Source organism: Homo sapiens, chromosome 12, assembly GCF_000001405.40.
Source record: "Homo sapiens chromosome 12, GRCh38.p14 Primary Assembly".
Lineage (NCBI taxonomy): Eukaryota > Metazoa > Chordata > Mammalia > Primates > Hominidae > Homo > Homo sapiens.
This window is the reverse complement of record NC_000012.12, coordinates 42512321-42532449: the sequence shown is the minus strand read 5'-3', so window position 1 is coordinate 42532449 and position 20129 is coordinate 42512321. Positions and strand designations below refer to the sequence as shown.

The following is a 20129-nucleotide window of genomic DNA, read 5'->3' as shown; positions in this document are numbered from 1 at the left end:
GTTACAAATGTCAGTCATATTCTATTTCTGTTAGACAACACTGGTCTATAGTTTTATAGCTGCATAATTTTCTATTATGTGAGTAAAATTATTTGACCGGTTCTTAACCACCATCTTGTTGAATCCTCAAGATACTTCTTATTTTTTAGTATTAAAAATTACTCATTGACCACCTGTACATAGAGATGTTTTTTACATATCTCTGATTGTTTCCTTAGGATTTACTGTTAGAAGTAGAATTGCTAGGAAAATGAAAATTGTTATTTCTTTCTTTATTTATTTTTTGAGGCAGAGTCTTGCTGTGTGGGCCAGGCTGGAGTGCAGTGGCACAGTTATGGCTCACTGCAGCCTCAACCTCCCAGGCTCAAGCGATCGTTTCCACTTCAGCCTTTCAAGTAGCTGGGACTACAGGTACATGCCACCATGCCCGGCTAATTTATTTATTTATTTTTTTGGTAGAGATGAAGTCACCCTATGTTGCCCAGACTGCTCTTGAACTCCTGGGTTCAAGCGATCTTCCCACTTCGGCCTCCTAAAGTACTGAGATTACAAGCATAAGTTACCATACCTGGGCAAAAATTTTTAAATGAGAAATAATGTTATAAATAAATGAAGAAAGTAAAAAATAATGCTCTTTCTCTTCATTATTCAATTATCTTTCTCTAGAAAGAGAGTATCATTCTGATCATTAGCAGTTGTTCATTTTACAGTGAATCAAAAGCACCATTTCAGCTGTATTCAAATTAATTAATGGTAGCTACCATTAAGTTGTTTTTGAAAAGTCAACTCTGAGTTGTCCTGTTTTATGTGAATTACGAAGTATTAAAGATTGGAGCTCAATGTTATCCTTTCTCCTGAATTAAACTACACACCTTTTAGTTTATTGATTGCACACAATTATGAAATGGAAAAGATTAACAGTAGGCATATTTTTAAGCCTTTCTGAATTATCTTTGTAATACTACGATGGAGGAAAGGTGTAGGCAAAGGAGTTGTGAGCCTAAGAGATCATTTATCAGAGGTCCAGAATATTTGATCTGTTATCTGTGTGAATGTATAACCTAACATTTTAACACTATTATTGTACAATAAAAACAAAGCCTTGGCCAGGCGCGGTGGCTCACGCCTGTAATCCCAGCACTTTGGGAGGCCGAGGCGGGTGGATCACAAGGTCAGGAGATCGAGACCATCCTGGCTAACACGGTGAAACCCCGACTCTACTAAAATACTAAAAAATTAGCTGGGCGTGGTGGCGGGCACCTGTAGTCCCAGCTACTCAGGAGGCTGAGGCAGGAGAATGGCGTGAACCTGGGAGGCGGAGCTTGCAGTGAGCCGAGATCGTGCCACTGTACTCCAGCCTGGGAGACAGAGCGAGACTCCGTCAAAAAAAAAAAAAAAAAAAAAAAGCCCTTAACATCTTTAGCAATAGGGCAATACCACATGAACAAGGTTGTACTTTTCTTATAAAATTAATCTGATGGCTGGGCACGGTGGCTTATGCCTGTAATCCCAGCATTTTGGGAGGCCGAAGCAGGTAGGTCACCTGATGCCAGAAGTTCGAGACCAGCCTGGCCAACATGGTGAAACAGGGTTTCACCATGTTTTACAGGTGCCGGGCACCTGTAATCTCAGCTACTTGGGAGGCTAAGGCAGGAGAATTGCTGGAACCCGGGAGGCAGAGGTTGCAGTGAGCTGAGATCATGCCATTGCACTCTAGCCTGGGCTGACAACAGTGAGACTCTGCTCAAAAAAAAAAAAAAAAAAAAAAATTATTTGATAAAATACACTGACTTTTTGCCTAAAATGGCCAAGAGAGCCTCTGTAAAACCTTCCTTTGTGTCTTTCTTAGAATTTTTGCATTTTGTACTTTTCTCTAATGTCTTTGGGATTCATAGAAAAAATGTTGGGAACCTTTAGGAGTTGCTGAACTCTCATATCCCCTGAGTAGTATTAAAGAAAATGCTGATTCAAGAAATCGAGCTTACGTTTGATGAGGCAATATAGTGTTATTGAGGATTTAGTGGACTGAACAGTGACTTGAATATAATTTAGGGGGAATGTTTTATGGCATTTCTAGAGTATAAAATGAAGAGTTTCCAGTTCACCATTAGTGTTTCATATGAAATAAAAAATTACATTGTCTGCCAGTGGAAGAAGAAGAAATAAAAATCTATAATTTAATCCAACTTGAAAATTCTTCCTTATAGGCCGGGCGCAGTGGCTTATGCCTGTAATCCCAGCACCTTGAGAGGCCGAGGCAGGCGGATCACTTGAGGTCAGGAGTTCAAGACCAACCTGGCCAACATGGTGAAACCCCGTCTGTACTAAAAATACAAAAATTAGCCAGGAATGGTGGCATGTGCCTGTAATCCCAGCTACTCGGGAGGCTGAGGTGGGAGAATTGCTTGAACCTGGGGTGGAGGTTGCAGTGGCCAAGATAGTGCCACTGCACTCCAGCCTGGATGACAGAGTGAGACGCCACCAAAAAAAAAAAAAGGAAGGAAGGAAGAAAGGAAGGAAGGAAAAGAGAAAAGAAAATTCTTCCTTTTTCCTTTTTTTTTGATAAGGTCTCACTCTGTTGTCCAGGCTGGAATATAGTGAGTGGAGCAATCTTGGCTCATTGCTTCTTGGGTTCAAGCAATTCTCGTGCCTCAGCCTCCTGAATAGCTGGGATTATAGGCATGCGCAACCATACCTGGCTAATTTTTTGTATTTTTAGTAGAGATGGCGTTTTACCACGTTGGCCAGGCTGGTCTCAAACTCCTGGTCTCAAGTGATCTGCCTGCCTTGGCCTCCCAAAGTGCTGGGATTACAGGCATGAGCCACTGCACCGGCCTTCTTAACTTTTGATCTAAAGAATTTGAAAAATCAACCCTGCCCTCACTAAGCAAAACTGTAAGCAGGATTGTCTGTAAGAATCACATTTCTATCCTTTGGCATTTTAAACAAGAGAACTAATATTTTATTTTGTATAAACAATAGCAAAGCATAAGCTAACTTGACTCTTCTGTCTCCCAAGAAAGTAGACAAACAGCTGCCATTCTGGCAGTTAGAAGTACTAAAATTTATTTTAAAGGCTATTCATTTATATTTCTTTTACCCTGTCTACATAATTAATAGCTTAGTTTAATTCTATTTTAAACTTTTGCCATCTGCAGGATTGCTATACAGTGGTGACATCAAGTCCCATAGGAACATGTTTGAGTAATTAAGACTACAGAAAAGGCTTCCAGAACAACATTTTGATTACAAATAAAATTCAAAATAAAATATCTAGTTTTGAAGGACTAGGTATTTTTCCTAATTAAAAAACAACTGAAAGCCTGTCATTTACTTAGTATAATTTTGTAAGTGTTTCCATGTGTAATGCCACAGAGCTAAAAGTCTAAGTCTGATACATCCATTCATAAAAAAATAAAAAATAAAAACAGTAGAGGGACAGGGGCCATTTTCAAGGGAGCCTTCCCTTAGCCGGTGGTGGCTTAGAGGCAAAGAGTCATCTTTTGGTTTCCATATGAAGAATTATTTGAGGTGCTACAAGGATTATTTTCTAACTAGTATGATAGAGAAGCTGTGTAGTCTGTTTTAAAAATTAAATGGTACAGTTCATTTACATGTTTGTTGTCTAGCTTACACATACATGTTATATATGTGATTATTTTTCTTTATTTCATTCAGTCAGTGGATATTTTTTGAGCATTGACTGTGAGGATATCCAGTGGAGTCTCACAAACTGGCATATTCTGAACATTTCTAATTACATCAACTTCTGCCTGATTGACAGAATATGAAAAATTCTGATGGTTCACATGTTTAATACAAACATTTAACTCCTTTATAACTTATTGAACTTACCTATTTAATAAGCTAATATTTTTAAAGCAATAATGTTTTATTATGAAATGACATTTAAAGGCAGATGTAAACCTATGCTGTAATTTTTAGGTTGTTTTTATTAAAATGAAGACTTCTTGCAAATGTTGTTTTTCTCAAAATTAAGAGCTCTCCTTAAACACGATTTTATTTATATATTTATTTTTGCTTCAGTAAGACTTCCATAAAAAGTTAGTTTTTCGGGCTGGGCTCAGTGGCTCAAGCCTATTATCCCAGCACTTTGCAAGGCCGAGGTGGGAGGATCACTTGAGCCCAGGAGTTCGAGAGCAGTCTGGGCAACATGATGAAACCTCATGTCTACAAAACAGTTAGCCAGGTATGGTGGTGCACAACTGTAGTCTCAGTTACTTTGGAGGCTGAGGTGGGAGGGCCAGTTGAGCCCGGGAGGCAGAGGTTGCAGTGAACTGTGATCTTGCCACTGCCCTCCAACCTTGCTGACAGAGCAATACTCTGTCTCAAATAAGTAAGTTAAATACATAAAGAAGATAAAGAAGGTTAGCTTTACCATGTAAATTTTATGATGTTTGCATTTTATTTTATTTATTTGCCTTATGGCTAAAAGATAGTATATAAAACTTTGGAGATATATATATATATATATATATATATATATATATATATATATATATATATATATATTATAAAGAGTATATATAAACTCCAGTTGGTAGCCCCTATTTAATAGATTACTTATCATTACATACGGATCTCAGATAGCTGCCCATTCTTCCCAATATCAGTGCTTCTTGATCATGTCTTATTTAAAGAATTTTTTTTCTTTTAATTCCTAACATTTTACTCTCCATTTTATAAATGAAGAAATCAGGGCACAGAGGGATTTAGAAGATGCATGTAATTCTGAGACCCAGCCCACCACTTTGTTCACTTCCTGCTTAACAAATTGAATGGACAAGCATTTGTTAAGTACCCTCTCTGTGCCAGGCATATGCCATGTCTTGATGGGCTCCCAGTAAAGTCTGAGTAATTGGCCTTGTCATGAAATGGGACTTCTAGCAGTGCTTCATCTCATTGCCTGCTAAGTGGATTTTTGAGTTGCATCTTGACTTCCATGCTGGAAGGAGAAAAGGAAGCAGTTTTCCTATAGAATACACACCTTTAGGCTGGGCGGGGATGGTAGCTCATGCCTGTAATCCCAGCACTTTGAGAGGCCAAGGCAGGCACATCACTTGAGGTTAGGAGTTCAAGGCCAGCCTGGCCAACATGGCAAAACCCCTTCTCTACTAAAAATACAAAAATTAGCCAGGTATGGTGGAGCGCACCTGTAGTCCCAGCTACTCAGGAGGCTGAGACAGGAGAATCACTTGAACCTGGGAGGCAGAGATTGCAGTGAGCCGAGATTGTGCCACTGCACTCCATCCGGGGCTACAGAGTGAGACTCCGTCCCAAAAAAAAAAAAAAAAAAAAAAGAGGAAAAAAAAAAAGAAAGCACACTCTTAAATTGTACCCTTTTCCACTGACACCATCTGACTTCTTCACTTCTCCTTTATCAACTGCTCTAGTCATATGAATGTGTGGCGATAGTGCTGGTCCACAGTGTGACATTGGGCACATCACCTTGGACAAGCCCCACTCACCGTCACCCCTATATCATTCAAGCAGCATACATAGTCTCTTGATTCCATCTGGTAATTCTCCCTTGAATCTAAGCCCTTGTTTCATCCTATTGCCATGCTAGAGACATCATCATCATCATCGTCGTCATCATTATTTTACATTTTTCTAACTGATCTTTCTGCCTCAGCCTCTTTCAGCACTCCTCTAAGCATTTTTTTTTTTTTTTTGGCTTAGAGGAGTGTTTTTAAGGGGGAACAGTGGCCATGGTCACTGTTCCAAAAGGCAATTCTGCTCATGACCTGACTGTGCTAAAATGTGTACCACTTCTCATCAGTGTTCACATGCAAGGCCCTCTGCAAACTGGTCCCAGTCGGCTCCTCCAGGACTCTCTATCCAATTTCCCCATGTGCACTCTCAGCCACACAGAACCTCTCACCACTCTCAAGGCAGAAAAGCTGCTGGGTACATCTTCCCCACTCCTAAGTGACACTTCCATCACTTTTTTGCACTGTGTATTACTATTCACTTTCCAGCTCCAGATCAGATGTCCTCTGTGAAGTTTCTCTTAATTCCCCCAAACAAACCTCAACCTCTGCCCCCGCCAACTCCTCAGCATTTTCTTCAAACCTCATTCATACCTCCATTCTGTAACTTATTGCATCAGCATACAAGCATACAGTTGTCCCTCTCCCCTACCAGGTTGTAAAGCTTTTCAAATACAGCATTTAAAAAAAAAAGAAAAAAGATTTTTGTTACTCTAAGGTCTAGAAAAGTGCCAAGAAATACCCATGAATCGTGAATGCACCTCTGGCCTGAGTTTTTGCCTACACATTCTACCGGCTGAGCTTAATCCACTTCAGAGGTTTCATTAAGATACAGCCACTTTAGCTTCACAATGAATACATTAGCATTTTGTAATCCTAGAGCACTCTGCTCCATGTTTCCAAACACGTAAGATCCCTTAATTCTGTTTTCAACAGAAGACAGCTCAAATGCCCTATATTACCTTCTTGGAAAGAGGCATTCATCTCCTCTTTGTCTTTTGCAATGGATTTTGGTCCATTGATCATAATGACATATGACATCTATTTCAACACTTAGTATGTGGCAAACATGGTGCTTTGTATGTATTATCACTTTTACTGCCTACATCAACAACATTATGATGTAGGTGGTTCTGTTCCCTCAGTTTTGGAGAACAGGAAATGGAGGCACAGAAAGATGACATAACTAGTCTGAGGATGTAGGGAAAAAAAAAAAAAAGCAAACAAAGCTGCTTTTGCTATTCTCTCACTCACAACAATCAATACAGAAGACTTCTGGGACCTCTGGTCACCAGGAAGTGTGTGGAAATTTCTCCCTGCCAACAACCAGTCAATCAGTTCTGCAGTGGCCACCAGCTGCAGAATTGTCCTCGAATTCAATTCAATTCTGACACTCCTGCTACCTGGAGAGAACAGCAGATCCCATAGGTTAAGGGCTCAGGCCCACAGGACTTCTTTCCCCACTTTCAAGGCCAGTAGCAAGCCCCAAGTTGTTTTACCTGTGCTTCTGACTGACCAGCTCTATATTGGGGTTCCCTCGACCCTCTCCTTGGGTTTGACTAATTTGTTAGTACTGGCTCGCAGAACTCAGGAAAAGACTGACTTACTTTTATCAGTACATTTGTATAAAGGATATCACAAAGGATCAAGATGAAGAGATGCACAGGGCAAGGCACCTGCAAAGGAGAATGGAGCTTCGATGCTCTACTGCCCTTCAGGAACCTCCATGTGTTCAGCTATCGGGAAACTCTCTGAACCCAGTCCTTTTGAGCTTTTATCATTATGTAGGTATGATTGATTAAATTTACTAAGTTGGTGAAACCCCTTCCCCAGTGGCTGGGGAGTGTGGCTCAAAGTTCTAACTCTCTGATCCTGCCTTGGTCTTTCCAGTGACCAGCCTAGAAGCTGAAGCTACCCAGCGGCTGCCAGCTAGCAGTCATCTCATTAGCATACAAAAAAGACTATCATGTTGGAATCATGTGAAATCACGTTGGACATTCCAAGGATTTTAGGAGTTGTGTGCCAGGAAACCTGGACAAAGACCAACTATACATTTCACGATGTCAGAACGAGTAAGTGGCAAAGCTGGCACCAAGGCTGGATGACTCCAGAATTCGTGTCCTTAACCACTATGCCTCACTATCTTCCAAAAAAACAAATATTCTAAAGACAATCATAACTGATATACAGGGATTTTTAAATAAATGTAAATATTTAAACAGTGATTTGCCGGGTGTGGTGGCTTACACCTGTAATCCCAGCACTTTGGGAGGCCGAGGCTGGTGGTTCATGAGGTCAGGAGTTCAAGACCAACCTGGCCAAGATGGTGAACCCCCATCTCTACTAAAAATACAAAAATTAGCCGGGTGCGGTGGCAGGCACCTGTAATCCCAGCTACTCAGGAGGCTGGCAGGAGAATCGCTTGAACCCAGGGGGTGGTGGTTGCAGTGAGCCAAGATCGCGCCACTGCACTCCAGCCTGGGTGACAGAGTGAGACTTCATCTCAAAAATAAAATAAAATAAAAATACAGTGATTATTACCAACAATTTTTACCCTGTGGTTTAATTTTGGTCCTTTGATTATTTCAGGTCCTTTGATTATTTCAGGAAAACTTTAAATCTACCATTGGATTAGTAGGAAAAATATTCTGAAAAAACAATCAAGATTACATAGCTAAAATGTAGATGCTTGGACTTACTGTCCTTTTATTTTTCTATAATATGCAGTGCTTCAAGACAGCCTTGATTGTTATAATCAAATATTGTATACAAAACAACACTTTGTAGAGCTGCTGGCTTGTACATGTGCTTGCTGTTTCAAATTACCTGTATTGCACAGGCCATTTTAATGGAAAGAAAATTAGCTTAAAGATAGGAAGTGCCTTATTAGCTCAGTAAAGCCATGGTCTGTTCAATTAAAGTGTTAACAAATATTTCAGAGGAAAGAATGTTTAGGGTCATAAATGAATTCAACACAGTTGTTCCTAAGCACTTACTATTTACCTGGGAATGTGTACTGTGTTTGGTGCTTTGAAGATAAATGTTATTTACAAAACACCTAGCTAATAAAACCTTGCTTCAGAATGCTGTGTTTGACATCAAAGATCTTTATACTGAACTTTATGGTTGACAAGGTTTAATTTCATTTAAGTATGGGATAGGAGAGTCTTACTGGATAAGTCTGTATATAGATATAAGTGACAGGTATCCAAATCACCTGTTCTGACTGTGTTTATAGCTGCATTTCCACCTGTACTGTATAATGTGACCCAGATTTTTTACCCTTTAATGCACCCATATGGCTCTTATTTGTAACTGTGCATCTGTTAAGCCATCTGAAATACTGAGTTTGCATGTCTGTGAAAATTCATTGCTGCTACCAGTCTTCCTTCTTTCCTTTCTTGGTCGTTTGAAGACTCAAGAGAAGTAGTTAATATCAGTCTATTCTTTCAAACCACAAACTTTGGAAACAGATGCACTAGTGTGAAAAAGTTTGTTGACATAACTGCAAGATGGCCTCTTTGTGAAAAGACCAGTTCCCTATGTCTTGTTCAGAATTCAAGAGTTGCCCCTATGTAAACTTGGCTGCAGAAAAATTCAGAAAATGAGCATCTTGGTTAACCTTTTAATGCTTATTCCAAGTTTAAAGGAGATTAAGAAACAAAAAATTGGCTGGACGCGGTGGCTTACGCCTGTAATCCCAGCACTTTGGGAGGCCAAGGCGGGCGGATCATGAGGTCAGGAGTTCGAGACCATCCTGGCTAACACAGTGAAACCCCGTCTCTACTAAAAATAAAATACAAAAAAATTAGCCTGGCATGGTGGCAGGTGCCTGTAATCCCAGCTACTTGGGAGTTTGAGGCAGGAGAATGGTGTGAACCCAGGAGGCGGTGGTTGCAGTGAGCCGAGATCGTGCCACTGCACTCCAGCCTGGGCGACAGAGCGGGACTCCATCTCAAAAAAAAAAAAAAAAATATGTTAGAATCACCTTTCAACTAACATGAACTGCTTTGGGACATGGGTAGTCTTTATAATTAAAGTGACTAAGGATAAAATGCATGGCACAAAACTTGCTTTCTTCATGAGAGTCCACTAAAAATTCCTAGATCCCTAAAGATCAAATTTATGTAATATATCCACTTTAAAAATAACTGCCAATTTTCCGCTTTAAAAAAGATTCTATTTGCTAATGGAAAAAACAAAACTTTGTCTAGCCACCAAAGTAATAAAACTTATTTGATGCAATGGTGCATTTCTCATAGCAAAGTGCCACATAGGATACTAAGGAAAAGTACGTTAATGTGACCAAGGCCCACACACAGCCAATGTACACAGATCTCATTTTCCAATTTTTAGAGTATTTTAAAACTCTGTGTTAAACTTATTTAAGCAAGATACATTTTCATATAAATATATTTTTATATAATTTAGAAACCAGATTTGATCTGGTTCTCTTGCAAATGGACAATAGTCATTCACTTCTGCATCATTCTAGTTGTATAAGCATGGTAGAAAATAGCCCTAAAACCCCTGATTTCAGACAAGCATGATGTGTGCCTATAGTCCCAGCTACTGAGTAGACTGAGTGGGAGGATTGCTTGAGCCCAGGAGTTTGAGACGAGTGTGGGTAACGTAGATGCTGTCTCTTACAAAAAAGTTAAGGCCAGGTATGGTAGCTCACACCTGTAATACCAGCACTTTGGGAGGCTGAGGCGGGTGGATCACCTGAGGTCTGGTGTTCGAGACCAGCCTGGCCAACATGGTGAAACCCCGCCTCTACTAAAAATACAAAAATTAGTTGGGCATGGTGGCATGTGCCTATAATCCCAGCTACTCGGGAGGTTGAGACAGGAGAATCACTTGAACCCGCGAGGTGGAGCTTGCAGTGAGCCGAGATCGTGCCACTGCACTCTAGCCTGGGCAACAAGAGCGAAACTCTGTCAAAAAAAAAAAAAAAGAAGTTAAACACACACACACACACACACACACACACACACACACACACACCAAAAACAAACAAACTGATTTCACTTGAAATATTTAGATAACTAAAACCAAAAGCAAATTAAGTCGTTCTAAGAGGAGTGGTTTCACTCTTCACTATTGCTTTATGTAGACATGTTCTTCACATGAGACATTCTTAATGCTGGGAGAACTGGGACAGATTAGAAGAAGGTGGCTTGTTCTCGGTTTTAACTGGTTAGTTAATTTCTACTGTTAATGGCTTTTTTTTTTTGAGACAAGGTCTCACTCTGTCACCCAAGCTGGAGTGCAGTGGTGCAATCTCAGCTCACTGCCACCTCCACCTAGCAGGCTTAAGCGATCCCCCCGACCTCAGCCTCCAGAGTAGCTGGGACTATAGGCACATGCCACCATGCCAGGCTAATTTTTGTAATTTTTGTAGAGACAGGGTTTCACCAGGTTGCCCAGGCTGGTCTGAAACTCCTAGGCTCAAGTGATCCTCCCACCTCGGCCTCCCAAAGTGCTGGGATTACAGGTATGAGCCACTGCAGTAGGTCTATTAACTGCTTTTAACTGTATTGTATTCGTAACCATTTTCAAACACAGTTAAAGGTATTTTCCTTTATCTACTAAATATATAATTAGTAAAGAAATACAATGTTTCTCAAAATAATGTCTTAAAGTTTTTGCCACTATTCTTTGGACTTTCAATTATATAATCAATATTTACATTAATAAAATATAAATTGCCTACAGAGACTCTAAGGTATGTCTTCTTTTATTTTATTTTATTTTTTTTAAGACGGGGTCTTGTGCTATCACCCAGGCTGGAGTGCAGTGCAGTGGCGCAATCTTGGCTCACTGCAACCTCCGCCTCCCAGGTTCAAGCCATTCTCCTGCCTCAACCTCCTGAGTAGTTGGGATTACAGGCGTGCACCAGCATGCCCAACTAATTTTTGTATTTTTGGTAGAGATGGGGTTTCACCATGTTGGCCAGGCTGATCTCGTACTCCTGACCTCAAGTGATCTGCCCGCCTCAGCCTCCCAAAATACTGGGATTATAGGCGTGAGCCACCACGCCTGGCTAAGGTATGTCTTTAACATATTTATCCCTCTGTCAATAGATGTGAGCACAGACTCTCACATCATGACATATCTGATTAAAATGGACACATTTTGACATTTCTTTAAAGCTTGCATTCAGACTGTAACATTTGCAACACCTCACTGTATTGCTAGCCAACCAAATCTAATCAACAGTTTGACGCCCTGCCTAAATTAAAGAACATTTTAAAAGTTAAAAATTTGTTTGAAGTGTAAGTGTATTTGGGGGTTAATGTAGATAACACATAAAGTGAAGCCTCAATCAAATTAAAACAATATAATAGACTGTTTGGCAATGAGCTTGTTCACAGTAACTCCCCACTGTGCAAAGCTCTGTCTATGCAGCATCTCATTTAATCCCCATCGCAACTCAGTGCAGTAAATTTTGCATTTCCATTGCATAGTTGAGGAAAATGAGATTAAGGGAGAATGAAATGTCTTGCCCCAAATCACAAAGTTAGTAAATGGGAGAGTCATATTCTGTCTCAGGGCTGTCTACCTCCAAAGTCCACTACCTGTTAATATTATTCTCATTTGCATTGACCACCACGGTCTTACATCTTTCTTTTCCACATTTTAGGTTATGCTGGAAAAGCACAGAGAAATTTAGTCGCAGTGTGTATTAGGGACTCACCTGTTCTCCAGTGGAGATTACATATAACTATCCCACATCCACCACAGATCTGGTGGCCTGGATAATTTATCATCCAAACCTGGACACTTGAGAGGGTGCTTTTTACCAGAAAAAGAGGCACAAACTAGGATTTTCCAGAGCAGAATGGAACATATAAGATTACCCCATATAAAGCAGTGGTCTCAGGGAAGGCATGCCTTATCAGAACTTGTATGGAGGGGGTTGAAATACCCCATCCTGGGCTACCGTTAAAACACTCAAAGCCATCAAGTGCAATGGCTCGCATCTGTAGGCCAAACTACTCTGGAGGCTGAGGTGGGAGGATGGCTTGAGGCTAGGAGTTCAGGGCTGTGCTGAGCCATGATCTTACCACTATACTCCAGCCTGGGCTACAGAATGAGACCCCATCTCTAACAACAACAACAAATACTCAAAGTCACAGGTCAGATTTCTGCTTTGCTTTCAAGCTACCCAGCCTCAGCCCACCCCTTTTAGCCACTCCTTCTAGAAGTGTTTCCTCACCTACCCCATCACTGGTCTAGAATTATGAAGAGCATTTGTGTAAGCATTCATCCACCTGTGAATTAACCAAAAGAATAGGCCATTTTACTAACCATTTATTAATATTCAGTCTCCAAGATCAGAGAAGGGGTCGGAGTTGATCAAATATGTTGAGGCACAAAAGTCTGGATTATCTCCTGCATCTGGTAAAGTCTAAAGCTGGTGCTGAAAATTCAGTAAAGCCAGGTACGGTGGCTCATGCCTATAATCCCGGCACTTTGGGAGGCCGAGGCGCATGGATCCCCTGAGGTTAGGAGTTTGAGACCAGCCTGGCCAACATGGTGAAACCCCATCTCTACTAAAAACACAAAATTAGCCGGGCATGGTGGCACACATCTATTATCCCAGCTACTCGGGAGGCCGAGGCAGGAGAATCACTTGAACCCAGGAGGTAGAGGTTGCAGTGAGCAGAGATTGCGCCATTGCACTCCAGACTGGGTGACAAGAGCAACACACCATCTCAAAAAAAAAAAAAAAAAAAAGGAAAAAAAGGAAAGGAAATTCAGTAAAGCAACACTGTGGAGGGAACAGGTAGTTCCCTAAATAATGCCACCTAAGAATTCTTCATGTTGAACACATTTTTCAGCATTACAGATGGTAACGATTACTACTTGAGGGTCATGTGCCAAGAGAGAAGTAATGTAACCCTTCTTTGCAACATTTCAGGTCTGACTCTCCTAAATAAAACTGAGAATTAATCAATTCTCAAGCCATGGTGCATTTCATTTTTACTTCCTCCAATAAACTGGAAAGTGTACCTGATAGTGGCATTATAACCATGTTATAACATTTACACTTCTTAAATCTAATTAATAAGTGTAATTTGCAGTTTATCAGAAGGCTATAGGGATATTATTGCTAGTGTTTTGAGAAATATAAGCTGTATTACTCCTGCACCAATCAGTAGGTATTGCCAAATAAATTTCAAGGTCATGTAACTGAACATTAATATTGAACACAGTTTAGTTTTAAATTACAATGGGATTAAATTTCATCTTACAACTTCTATGTAGATAAATTCAATAATGTTTTAGTTTTAAGGTTGGAAGACAGATGCAAGGGGGACAAACATAGGAAAATTAAGGATCATTGAGCTATTTTTAACACTTTCAAATTTAGGTTGGCAGCTGTTGTTAGTGTCAGGACTTAAATAACTTTGCTTTGTTAAAAAATAAATTCACAACATATGAATTTCAGCATGTTGTGAATTTATTGTTTGTGCTTATTAGGGAAAGATACTTCAGTTGAAAAAATAAGAAATTCTCCAGGGTATAAAAAAACCATCCTTGTTAGTAGACAAGTGATCATAGTCTTATCAAGACATCCATCCTCAGCCGGTTGTTGTGGCTTATGCCTGTAACCCCAGCACTTTGGAAGGCTGAGGCAGAAGGATTGCTTGAGTCCAGGAGTTCAAGACCAGCCTGGGCAACATGTTGAAACCCCATCTCTACAAAAATTTTAAAAATCAGCTGGGGATGGTGGTGCATGCCTGTGTTTCCAGCTACGCAGGAGGCTGAGGCAGTAGGATCACCCTGGGTGACAGAGTAAGACCTGTTTCAAAAAAAAAAAAAATCCTCAGAAACTTCTGATCTTCTTAATTTAACCAACTTTTACAGTAAAACCAGTCTTCTTGCTAATGAAATGAAGGAATTGCATTAGACTGGGTCTTAAATTCTTAAATTATGTTATCTTTGGAATTATAAACCCAGGCCTGGGAGAGACATTCTGAGACCTTTTAATTCCCCCTTCAAACTCGATAAATGCATGCCTATCTAGTGTGGAGAAAGAAACCCATCTATTATACAGAAAAAAAAATCTTTCAGACTACCAAAGGAAATACCCCCACTTTTCTTGTTAAGTACCCAGTTAATTATTTAAAGACACATTTGCTTTTTATCAACTGAAATTCCTCTCCTCTCCCTTTAGACTAGGGACCTCAAGGGTTGTAGGGTGTCCTTAAAGCCAGGAGGAGGCAATAAGGCTGGTACAGTATTTGAGGATGGCCTTAAAGACCAGCCTGTGGAAAAACTGATCTAGGAACCCCTGGTTAAAGATGGCAGACTGGGCCAGGTGCGGTGGCTCAAGCCTGTAATACCAGCACTTTGGGAAGCCAAGATGGGCGGATCACGAGGTCAGGAGATCAAGACCATCCTGGCTAACACGGTGAAACCCCATCTCTACTAAAAATACAAAAAACTAGCTGGGCGTGGTGGCGGGCGCCTGTAGTCCCAGCTACTCAGGAGGCTGAGGCAGGAGAATGGCATGAACCTGGGAGGCAGAGGTTGCAGTGAGCTGAGATCATGCCACTGCACTCCAACCTGGGCTACAGAGCAAGACTCTGTCTCAAAAAAAAAAAAAAAAAAAAAAAATGGCAGACTGAGTACACACATTTAGTTCTGTCCCCTTGCAAAATTTCATTAAAGTGACAGTAAAAGTATTTTTAAAAAAGAAGTAACCCACAAAGATGAATAAAATGGGAAAGAAGAAAATAACAAAACTTTGGAATCTGAAAACAGGATAATTAGCAGCTAATTTAGGAGACTCAAAGAGGCAGATCCTAATCTGGAAGTACAGATTGAGAAGCAAGTTGAGAAGCAATCTGAGTTATTCCCTAGAACTTCCAAAAGGCTCAAGAAGGTTTATCCTTTGTCAAGGGTGGAACAGAGGTTCTCTACACTATGAAACACAGGCACAGTTGAGGGAGAGGGTACCTAAACAAAACCAAAAGAATCAGGTAACAGACCTCAACTTGGCTGCCACATCATTCAGCCAGGTATCACCCACCCCATAGGCAGGAGATGGGAAAAGTATTATCTGAAGAATCTGGTTAGCCAAAGGCAAGGGGTGGGGAGAGGGGGTGTGGGTGCATGCGGTGAGAACAAAGCTAAGAATTCTGACTTTGGGGGTTTCCCAAGGAAACGGCCCAACCTAGATCATCTTAGTCTAGATGACAGAGTCAAAAACCTCCCTTTCCCTGTCCTCATCCTCCCAAACACAGACAGATGGCTTCCAGTAGCTTTTTAGTATCTCACTATTAAATATGAACAGGTAGATGAGGATGAACAGAGAGAGAGAAACAAAGATAATAACAGTTAAAACAGATACAAAGGAGAACACTTAAAATATACATATCATTGATATTGTCTGAGAAAGAAGAGATACCCTGTAAACAAGAACAGGATGCTACAAAAAAGGAACCTTCATGGACACAGGAACTCTTGGATATTAAAAATATGAAAGAAGAAGCCAGGCACGGTGGCTCACGCCTGTAATACCAGCACTTTGGGAGGCCGAGGCAGGCGGATCACGAGGTCAGGAGATCGAGACCATCCTGGCTAACATGATTGAACCCCGTCTCTACTAAAAAATACAAAAACTTAGCCAGGCGTGGTGGTGGGCACCTGTAGTCCCAGCTACTCGGGAGGCTGAGGCAGGAGAATGGCATGAACCCGGGAGGTGGGGCTTGCAGTGAGCCGAGATTGCACCACTGCACTCCAGCCTGAGCGACAGAGCGAGACTCTGTCTCAAAAAAAAAAGTGAAAGAAGAAATGGAAGGCCATTTGCTAGAAGTCTTGGAAGCTACAGTATAGGAAATTGCCTAGAAAGTAAAAACACCAAAGAAATGCAAAATCGGAGAGAAAAGATGAGAAAATTTGAAGTCCAGTCCAGGGATCCAGTATCTAAATAGCAGGAGAAAAATGGAAGAAAGAATGTCATCAAATAAATAATTACAGAAAATTTCCTGAACAGAAGGACATGAATTTCTGGATTTAAAGGCTTACCAAGTACTGTGTACAGTGTTTGAAAGTAGATTCATACCAATGTACATCATCAGGTAATTTTAGAATACTGGAACATAAAAGGTAGGTTCTACAGCCTTTTAGAGAGGAAGAAAACAAGTTCTCATGTGAAGGATGAAAATCATAATGGCAATACTGGAAGCCAGAGGATAGCAGAGCAGAACCCTCAAAGTTCTAAAGAGAAATCAGTTTTAGCTTAGAATTCAGGAGTCCACCAAAGTATCATTTGAGGTTAAGTATAGAAAAATATATTTTCAGATATGTAAGCTTTCAACAATTTTACCTTCCATGAAAAGGTACATGGGATAGAGTGTGGGTAGAAGTTAACAGATAATGCCTTAGGGGCTGGGCACGGTGGCTCACGTCTGTAATCCCCAGCACTTTGGGAGACGGGTGGATCACCCGAGGTCAGGAGTTCGAGACCAGCCTGGCCAACTTGGTGAAACTCCGTCTCTACTAAATACAAAAATTAGTCGGGCGTGGTGGCAGACACCTGTAATCCCAGCTACTTGGGAGGCTGAGGCAGGAGAATCGCTTGAACCTGGGAGGCGAAGGTTGCAGTGAGCCAGGATGGCACCATTGCACTCCAGCCTGGGCAATAAGAGCGAAATTCCATCTCAAAAAAAAAAAAAAAATAGATAATGCCTTAGAGCCAAGTGTGGTGGCTCATGCCTATGCCTATAATCCCAGCAGTTTGGGAGGCCAAGGTGGGCGGATCACTTGAGGACAGGAGTTGGAAACTAGCCCGCCCAACATGATGCAAACCCATCTCCACTGAAAAATAGAAAAGTTAGTCAGGCGTGGTGGCTTGCACCCAGGTACTCAGGAAGCTAAGGCAGGAAAATTCCTTGAACCTGGGAGGCGGAAGTTGCAGTGCCAAGATCATGCCACCGCACTCCTACCTGGGGACAGAGCAAGACTCCATCTCAAAAAATATAGATAGATAGATAGATAGATAGATAGATAGATAGATAGATAGATAGATAGAGCGAGCCTTAAAAAAAGTTAGAGTAGTAAGATCAGTATGTTATCTAGAGAAATGGAGATAAATACTAAAAGAATCAACTAACAGAGGGGAAGCAGAAAAGGGAAGAAACTGAGAACTGCTGTTTCTCAAAACAAGCCTTTTAGGACTGTTTGGTTTTTAAACGATGTGCTTGTATAATTGTAAAAAAAAATTAGGTTTAAAAAAGAAAAAATGGAATAGGTCACGAGGGGCAAACAAACTTTCTTTTCATTTTTGTTTGATAATAAGGATCTTTCAATCTGACAAGCCCTTTGACAGCATATAATGGATAAGTGTTCAGATTTAATTTTAGCTCATCAGCCTTTGAGTTTCCCAAGGTGTTTCTGTTGGTCTGCATGCATTAGTGAAATCATTCTTTTGTAGCAGTAATTAAGTTATATTTAGATAACTATTTCTTATGGGGACACTGACAAGAGATCCACAGGAAAAACAAAAAAAAAGATGATGATCTTTCTTCTTCCACTGAAGAACCATGAGATAAGAGAACTAGCAGGTGGAGGTTTAATCATTTTCTGACACACAAGCATACACAGAGGAAAGTATGAAATGCAGAAAATAAAAGGATTTTAAATCCCAGAATAGAAGACATAGTTTCAGTTGCTGCAACTGAAACTAATTGTTTTTATTAGCTCATTAATGTTTCATGATTTGGGGATGTATTTGTATACCATACTGTTGGACTATTTTATTGCAATGATGATGCCTCAAAGGATTTTGAAAAGCACCAAATGAATTTTGAGATGGTTATAGTCTTGGGGCTATTGCATGTACTAAACTGAATAGCTTCCTAATATACAATGAGATTGTATCCATGTTTTATTGTATAATATCTTTTTTGTTGTTGTTTTTTGGAGGCAGAGTTTCACTCTTGTCGCCCAGGCTGGAGTGCAATAGTGCAATCTTGGCTCACTGTAACCTCCGCCTCCTGGGTTCAAGCAGTTCTCCTGCCTCAGCTTCCCAAGTAGCTGGGATTACAAGCATGCACCACCACGCCTGGCTAATTTTTTGTATTTTTAGTAGAGACGAGGTTTCACCATGTTGGCCAGGCTGGTCTCAAAACCCTGGCCTCAAGTGATCTACCTGCCTTGGCCTTCCAAAGTGCTGGGATTGCAGGTTATATAATAGGCTGCACCCAGCCTATTATATAATAATTTTTTAAAGGAGACACCAAAACTTTAAAAAGAGAGAGACATAGGGGACAGCATTGAAGATATGTAAATAGAGGGAGTAGACAGTGAATTAATTAAGGGCAAAGAGCAGCTCTTATTCATTTTTTTTTTTCCAGCCCAACAGCATCTTGCTATGTTGCCCAGGCTGGAATGCAGCAGCTATTCACGGGCATTATCATAGCACGCTGCAGCCTAGAACTCCTGGATTCAAGCACTTCTTCTGCCTCAGCCTCCTGAGTAGCTGGGACTACAAGAGTGCCCAGCTGTATTCATTTAACAAATATTAATTGAGTACCTACTATGCACCAGGTATTGGAGCTACATCAGTGAACAAAATGGATAGAGATCCTTACCTATGTAGAGCTTGCATTCTAGTGGGGTGGGAGGTGAAGAAAGGGACCAAACAAAATGATGACAGCCTGGGCTGCGGTGGCTCACCCCTGTAATCCCAGTGCTTTGGGATGCCGAGGGGGGCGGATCACCTGAAGTCAGGAGTTCGACACCAGCCTGACCAACATGGTGAAACCCCCTTTCTACTAAAAATACAAAAATTAGCCAGGCATGGTGGCAGGCGCCTGTAATGTTACTCGGGAGGTTGAGGCAAGAGAATTGCTTGAACCCAGGAGGTGAAGGCTGCAGTGAGCCAAGATGGTGCCATTGCACTCCAGCCTAGGCAACAAGAGTGAAACTACATATAAAAATAACAATAATAATAATAATAATAATAATGCCTTAGGGCAAAGTGGGCTCTAAGGCATTGGGATGCCATCTTGGATTTTCATAGCTTGAGAAGAGAAGTCAATGCCTGACTTCCAAACTTCAAAAGAGAGGCTGACTCTCTAGTTAGGGCCAAAATCAGCCGAACGTGGTGGCACATGCCTGTAATGCCAGCTGCTTGGGAGGCTGAGGCAAGAGAATCATTTGAACCCGGGAGGCAGAGGTTGCAGTGAGCCGAGATCACACCACTGCACTCCAGCCTGGGCAACAGAGTGAGACTCCATCCCCCACAAAAAACAAAATGATTACATACAATACATACTATGTCAGATAGAAATCAGTGCTATGAAGATAAATAACTCAGGAAAGAGAGATGAAGAATGTGGAATAGGGAGAGGGCAGGGGATACAGTTTTAAATAAGGTAGACACATAATAGGCACACTAAAATGCTTGCTGAAATTATTACTTGATAAAAACACAATGTCCAGCTGGGCACGGTGCCTCATGCCTGTAATCCCCGCACTTTGGGAGGCCAAGGCGGGTGGATCGCTTTTAAGGTCAGCAGTTCAAGACCAGCCTGTCCAACATGGTGAAACCCTGTCTCTACAAAAAATACAAAAAAAATTAGCTGGGCATGGTGC

The 20129-nt window shown here is 41.0% G+C and overlaps 1 protein-coding gene across 5 annotated transcripts in view; it reads left to right on the top strand.

Annotated features, from left to right (window-relative positions):
* Positions 1-20129, top strand: part of PRICKLE1 (prickle planar cell polarity protein 1) — a 132990-nt gene that overhangs the window by 57297 nt on the left and 55564 nt on the right. The window contains exons 1-2 of one of the 5 annotated variants that reach the window (XM_047428327.1): positions 4567-7297; positions 7404-7585. The exons of 3 other annotated variants lie outside the window; for them this stretch is intronic. The gene's annotated coding sequence lies outside the window, so the exon portion shown is untranslated. Of the gene's footprint in view, positions 1-4566; positions 7302-7403; positions 7586-20129 lie in introns of those variants that run through there. One more of the 5 variants, XM_047428335.1, reaches the window with a different exon arrangement.